The sequence below is a fragment of the Homo sapiens genome, chromosome 2 (assembly GCF_000001405.40).
Source record: "Homo sapiens chromosome 2, GRCh38.p14 Primary Assembly".
In the NCBI taxonomy this organism is placed as follows: Eukaryota; Metazoa; Chordata; class Mammalia; order Primates; family Hominidae; genus Homo; species Homo sapiens.
The window spans coordinates 194,230,207-194,237,484 of record NC_000002.12 but is presented as its reverse complement, the minus strand read 5'-3'; positions in this window follow the sequence as shown (position 1 = coordinate 194,237,484).

Genomic DNA, 7,278 nt, shown 5'->3' with positions numbered 1-7,278 from the left:
CCATTGGTGTTCTAAATATCTTTATATTCAGATTTGGGAAGATTCAGAATTAGGCTTCTGTCTACCACCATTTTCTAAGAATTCCTTTATGCATAATTTTAAACATGACAAAATGTGGCTTTCTTCTTGTTAAAGAATAATCATGACATGTCCTACAATAAATCTATAACTGAAACAGTGGAAAATAGTTCATCACATACTCTGTACCTTAGTCAATAAAAAGATGAATTCCTTAAATGACTATCATAATGATTAATATCTAGGTATTTATCATAGATGCTCTTTCAAATGTTTGTTTATTTTTTGTTTTCATTGGTTCTGATTACTCTGGCACATAGTTTTCTTTTGAAATGAACTAATGCCTAGAATGTTTGTACCGTAAAATTAATAAAAATTATATGTGTGAGAGGATGTAAAATTTTCCATTAAAACTGCACCAAGTGCTGGGGACAGACATTAAATAGCTATCTATAATGAGTGCACAGATTTGAGTTAATAACAACACAAATTTGCATTTATAATTTTGAGCCATATACTTCATTCACAGGTTTTTAAAAAGAATATTACATCAGTCATTGTAATGCTAATAAATTGTAGATTACTGTTTAACTTTCTTTGTTTTACTCCAACCCTCAATCTCTCTAATGATACAGCAGTTTCAGCGAAGAACTGATAATAAGACTGAACTAAGTTTGTGGTATTCTATAGCTCAATTTTTAGTTTCAGAAATCACAAAGAATAACAAGTACATCATATTAAATTATTAAGAAAATGGGGATATTATAATGTAAAGGCAATAAGAAGAAGATTAAGTAAAATTCTATTATAGTCCAGACTCTATCATTTTAAAGAAAATTTTTGTTAATGCCAAGTAATAACTGCATTGCTTTTCCATTAGCTGGTTTTAATGATTATGACTAATGTCTTTCACTTTGTAACAAAATTGAAAGCTTAGTTGTCTTGAATTAACCTCCTTACTGCAGCATAGAACAGAGGACTACATTAACCTTACAGAATTTTATACAGGGCAATAACTTAATAAATGCTGTCTATATTTATAATGGAAGGGCAAAGACTCTCAGTTTGCTATATCCGCATTTTCAGATACTCTCCTTCCATTCTTTGTGGGCACATAAAAAATAGTGCTCATTTGAGTATATTAAAATACTTTTTTACTTCATAAACAAGGTAAGATAGAGAAAGGGGAGTTTCAAAGCCAGAACCTAAAAGTGAAGCCTTTAAAAACTATGTCCACTGGATTCGTCTCAGTAGAGAGACTACATCATTTCATATGCTCCCACAGAATATCCAGCTCTTCAAAGATTTTGATAAGGCTCCAAATATATTTCCTTATTAATAGAGCTTGCCTTATATAGTACTTGCTCAACTGTTCTACTTTTTTGCTTCTTTCTCCAACCACCTCCCTTATGATTTTGTTCCATTTGGTACAATAGAAATAGTTATAACTCCTACTTCATAGCTCACATTTTTAAATGTGTTACACAATGTAAACCAGTTTGACAAACCTTATACATTTTATAAATGAAAGGCAATATAATGGCAACACTTCACCTCCATACAATATTGAATTTCTTCATATATACCTTTTTGTAGATATTAATATTTATTCCTATGAAATATTCATTAGATAAAGAAGCTATTTGTATAGTTGGAAAATGTAGTGGAAAGTAATTAATGAATCTCATACATAATTAATGGCATATGCCATTGTGAACATCATCATGTTGAGATAGAGGTCACAATTAATGAATGAATTAAATGACAAGACAAATAATGAATACTGGCTCTTCAAAATTTAATGGGAATTTCACATAGGTAATATTTTAGCTGCCTTGTTTATAGAGAATACCACTTATATAATAATACATCTTCTTTTACATAATTTTTTAATCCAGAATCTTTGAGAAGGGTTGCTGAATATGTCTGGACACACAAAGAATTGGCTGTATGAGTTAATATCTGTTTGTATCTTTAATGTATTATAATGGATATTTAAATGAATACTCAACTTGCAAAATCATTACAGGAATAAATTGTTCCCACTATTTTTAGCAGTTAGGAAAGTTCATTTGAAAGTTAATGTTGGTGACTGTCATAGGTGAAGTGCTAATAAATTATCCTCAGAAAGGGACATGACTTTCTTGGCTGTTTTACCTGAAGATTTTGTAAATGTGTGTTATTTGTCTAATGCTTATGAATATCATTAAAAAGTTCCAATATTAAAATTGCTTAAGTCAATTGTTAGAAATTTAGAAAACATTTTTTTAATTCTTAAATTTGAACTGTTCTCTCTTCATATGCTTTTGTACTATTAGCTATTTTCTTTAGCTATAATACTAACTGGTATTACTAAGCTAGAAGACTAATTACCATTTATTTTCATGTAGAGAGAAAAGGTTGACAAAGTTATAAAAACCTTTTTATAATTTTCAGCTTATGTGAGAATCAAACTCAAGTTTGTTGACATTCAGGGTAGCTTAGTGTATATACCCATTTGTCAATTAAATTGCTCATGAGACACTAGTTTCAAACATATATCTCAAAATTCAAAAGACCATAGTATCATAAATACAAATATTTATAGTATTTACTTTGTTTTTATGAGAGCAACTTTGGAAGAAAGCATTTGAAAGCCTCACTTCAGTCTCTCACTAAATTCTAGCGATATATTGAAATTTTTTCCTTCTTAATGTATTCATAAAAGTTATTGGCTTCTTCACAAACTACTCAGATGTTTTCTGACCTGTTATCACTTTCAAAAATTAGGGTGATGCAAGGAGAAAATAAATTTCAACCATCATTAATCAACGGATTACTTTCTTTAAAAAATCAAAGTAAAAGGCATGAGTTTAAATTTAGCAATGACGTTAGGTACATTAAAGTTGTAACCATCCATAGTTCTATCCTTAATTGCATTTTTTTCATATAATGGTAAGCCAGTATAATATGATCCAATTATATGAGGCTTCTAAATTATATTTGAATTTAAAATATTTAAAAATGACAATTCAAAGATCTCAAAAACCATTTTATTCATGTTATAAAAGTGAACTAATCAGACACTCTAGTGTATACACCTAAGCAAATTATAACATTCATTCAACTCTGATAATATTGCAAGTATTGGTTTTTGCTTCAAACCTTTATGGGAACATTCAAAACTAATAAATATAGAAGGCTTGTCATTTTTTTTCCAGTGAACTGTGATAATCCTATAAAATAAGAGGTAATTCTGGCACATTTAAATTATTCATTAATTTAGAACTTTCTAGTGTTATAATTTTCATTACATTTTCTCACAATGATTATAAGCATTCCACCTGTCATGTCAAATATTTATTGCTGCTTGCAGACTAACGAAAACTGTCTTCAAATAAAGGATGTTTCCATAGACACAACCTCTTTAATTACAGCTATTAAAAATACCACATATTAGATTTGTAAATAATTTGTTTTGGATCCTGATGATTCATATACTGACTGCATGACATTGAGGAGGTCACTAAACTTTCACCTGAACCTCAGTTCCATCATATACAAATTTGGCAAAAAAAAAAAATCAAGCGAGAATGGAGGCAAAATTTATTTGGTGTTTAGCCTAGAGTGTGTTCTTAATAACCTTTGTATTTTAGAATAGCTGTCAATGTGCTGTCTAGTAAGTTTCCATATATGGGCCCCTGGGTATTGCTATTATTAATATTCTACATTAATATGGTACATTTATTTAAATTTAAATTAGTGAAGCATTATTAACATATTAATTAAAGTCTATATTTTATTTAGAATTTTTTATTTTTTACCTCACCTCTTTTCTGTTCCAGGATGCTTTCCGGGATTCCACATTATATTCAGACATCATGTCTTCTCAAGACTGTGACAGTTTCTCAGATTTTCCTTGGTTATCATGACCTCAACAGTTTGGAAGGATACGGCTAGGGCATTTTGCAGAATAACTGATTGGGTCATGGTTTCTTAATGATTAGACTGGAGTTAAGTGTTGTGGGAAAGATCACAGAGGTGTCATTCTCATCATGTCATATCAAAGGCATATATGCTATCAGTATGATTTATCACTGTTGATGTTAACCTTGATCACCTGATTGAGGCAATATTTGTACAGTGTCTTCACTATGAATTTACTTTCTCCCTTCACTCTCCACACTGTGCTCATTCAAAGGCAGTCACCTTGCTAATCCACATTTAAGAAGTAGAGTTACATTCTACCTTTTTGAGAGGACCATATTTAAATTTTATTTGGAATTCTTCTGCAATGATCCGTATGTACTGGATTAGAGTTGGAGAAAATATGAATTCATGTATAGGAAGATTTTTGAGTATTTTCTTCATTTGTTTGTATGATCATATACTTATAGTAGTATGGACTTAGGAATATTTATGTTATAGTTTTGGCTCTAATTCAAAACTCCATTATTTGTGTTTTTGCTCAAACTGTTTCCACTTGGCTATTGAGAGTGCTTTCAGTTGACATGAAAAAGAACATGACTTGTTCTTTTGACATTCTTCCATAGACTTCGTTTTGCTTTTTAGCATGTCCTTGCCTTCTGGCACTTCAGGATGCTCCAGGCTCATCTTGCATATTCCCAGCCCCAGCCTTAGAACCAGCAATTTCCATTTTATTCAAGGAGTTTTGGTTCCTTTTATCAGAGTATAGTATAAGGCAATGGACACCAATGAGACATGTATGTGCATACTAAGCTGTGTAAATACACGTATATACATGCTTGCATATGTATCCATCTGTATTCATATTAAGCTAGCAATGAGTTCAAGCTGGTGTCTCTGACTTTAATTTCGTACTACATAGATCATTTTACATTTCCTCTTTTGCTTCTTTGTAATCACCCACACTGACAGTGAGACCTAGTCTCCCAGCGTCTGCCATCCATTTACTTAATAGTTTAATTCCAGTATACAGGAATATTTGGTTCACATTGTCAACCATATCCCTCCTGTTGAGAACTTTGCCAACTAGAATATAGTTCTTATGTACAGTTCCTTTAGCCTTTTAGCCTTATAGTCTTCACTAATTTCCAGTTACTTAGGTCAGCAGTTTTTCCCTTAACAACATTCAGTGAGATTATTACATTTGAAATACAATTAGATTCGTATGTCATAGTTTACTTTCCATTCTGGCATTCCTTGACATCTGAAATGATTTTTAAAATTTGCATACATTAAGGTTCAATCTTTACACTATAAAGTTATATGGGTTCTGACAAATGCAGTGTTATGTATCAGCAACTATAGTACCATACAGAATAGTTAACTGCTTTTAAAAATCCTTTGTTCTTCACCTATTTAACCCTCCACACTACTAAACCCTTTTCAAATACTAATCTGTTTACCATCCCTATAATTTTTAATTTTCCACAATGTCAAATAGATAAAATACTACAATATATAGCCTTTTCAGACTAGCTTATTTGACTCAGTAATTTGTGATCTTCATTTATACCATTATAGCTTTGCCCTGGTACTGATTGATGAAAAATTTTTGTTTAGTTTCGTCTTTTGTTTTAGATTTCCTTTTTAAATTATATTTTGGGCATATACTTTTTGCTTTGAAACTCACCAACCTGAATCATTTGTTTAGCCCCCTCCTCTTCTCCTTATTGCATAGAAAAATATCTAACTCCATAGCTAATGGCAGTTTTGTTCTTTATTTCACATTGAGAATACATTAGTTGTTTAAAAAAGTATTTGCATAATTTTTCTTGCTTACTTTACAGTGTTCTTTGCTAATATTTATTTCCCCTTTCATTTCTATTTTTCTTTCATTTTAGATTATTCATTTTCTTTTATAGTTAATATTAATCCTTTCTCCTCTGTTACACCTTTTGTGTTTCTTTCAAAATTATGTTTTAACTCTCTGGCTTACCATTTTTCTACCTAGTTTTCTCTATCTCTGAGTTTATTTGCCCACCCTTCTCCCATAACACACATTCTCGTAATTATTAAATTATTTGCCATCTTGATTATAATATATTCAAAATGGTTAATATAAGAAGAACTTAACAAAAGAATTATTTTCAAATGTGGGCAAGGAATAAAAAGAAGGAGTTGCTACTAGAATCAAAGAAGATAACTGCAGGAAAAAGGCTGCTTAATAGCAACGATGTGATTAAGTAGATAGACTACACAGTCCTTTGGACACCCATAGCGGAGAATGAGGAGAATATAGAATATAGCCTCCTTCTCTTACTGCCCTCTGATCTTCTGCCAGGGCTTTCTACTGGCCAAAAATAACTGGAAACCAGAGGGAATATGAATCTATACACGTTGTACACACAGAACAAATACCAGGTGCAAGAAGGATGCAGAGGATGTAAAGTTGATTCATCCAGCACAGTATTTTATGAAAATGCTTTTCTCTATTTTATTTCAACAATGTGAAATTTTACACACACACACACACACACATTCATACACACATGTTTCTATCTACCTATTTATCTTATCTACTTATCTACCTACCTACCTACCTACCTAACTGCCTGCCTATCTGTCTCCTCTTTATAACAGTACAAAGGATGGATATATGAGGTTAGTGGTATCTTTGCAGCTTTGAAATTACATCACAAATTCCTCAGGACACATCTCTCTTTCTCAGGAGCCTTAAGGGTTTGTTTCTCCCGTATTCTCCTTCATCCTGATAATTACCTCCTAACTCATTTTCGATCTTAATAGACCACCAGAAAAAGAGTAAAGCAATTATGATTTGCCAGATGAAGGCTGATATGCTGGCTTTCATCTTATCAATTAAGTGATCACCTTTTTATTCAACTTTTTTCCTACTGTTTAAATATGAAAATATGTGGATTAGTCACAGCAACTTACCAAACTCTTTATCTTGCTCTCTCCTCTTCCATTCAAACACATGGCAAATACAGCAAACCTAGATGCTTGCTAATCTTGGGAAAAGCAGAGGTCTTCTCCCTTGCATTTCCTTTCTTTCTCTTTTTCTCTTTTGTATGACAGCAGAGTTTGAAAAAAAAAATCTCATCTGGAGAAGGCATGACATAAATGGCCTTTTGCTATACTCTAATCTAGGTATAGAGGAGGGGGAAATGCATTTCTCCTGTTTTCTTTCTCTTTAAAATTCTTTTTATTTGAAATAATGTCCATTTCTTTCTACTAATATAGACATTTCCAAGGCTTGAGTTTAAATATTGAAAATGAGGAAAAGGCAAAACAATGTTAGTCTTAATGTATGGTTATAGGGAGAGGAAGACAAGA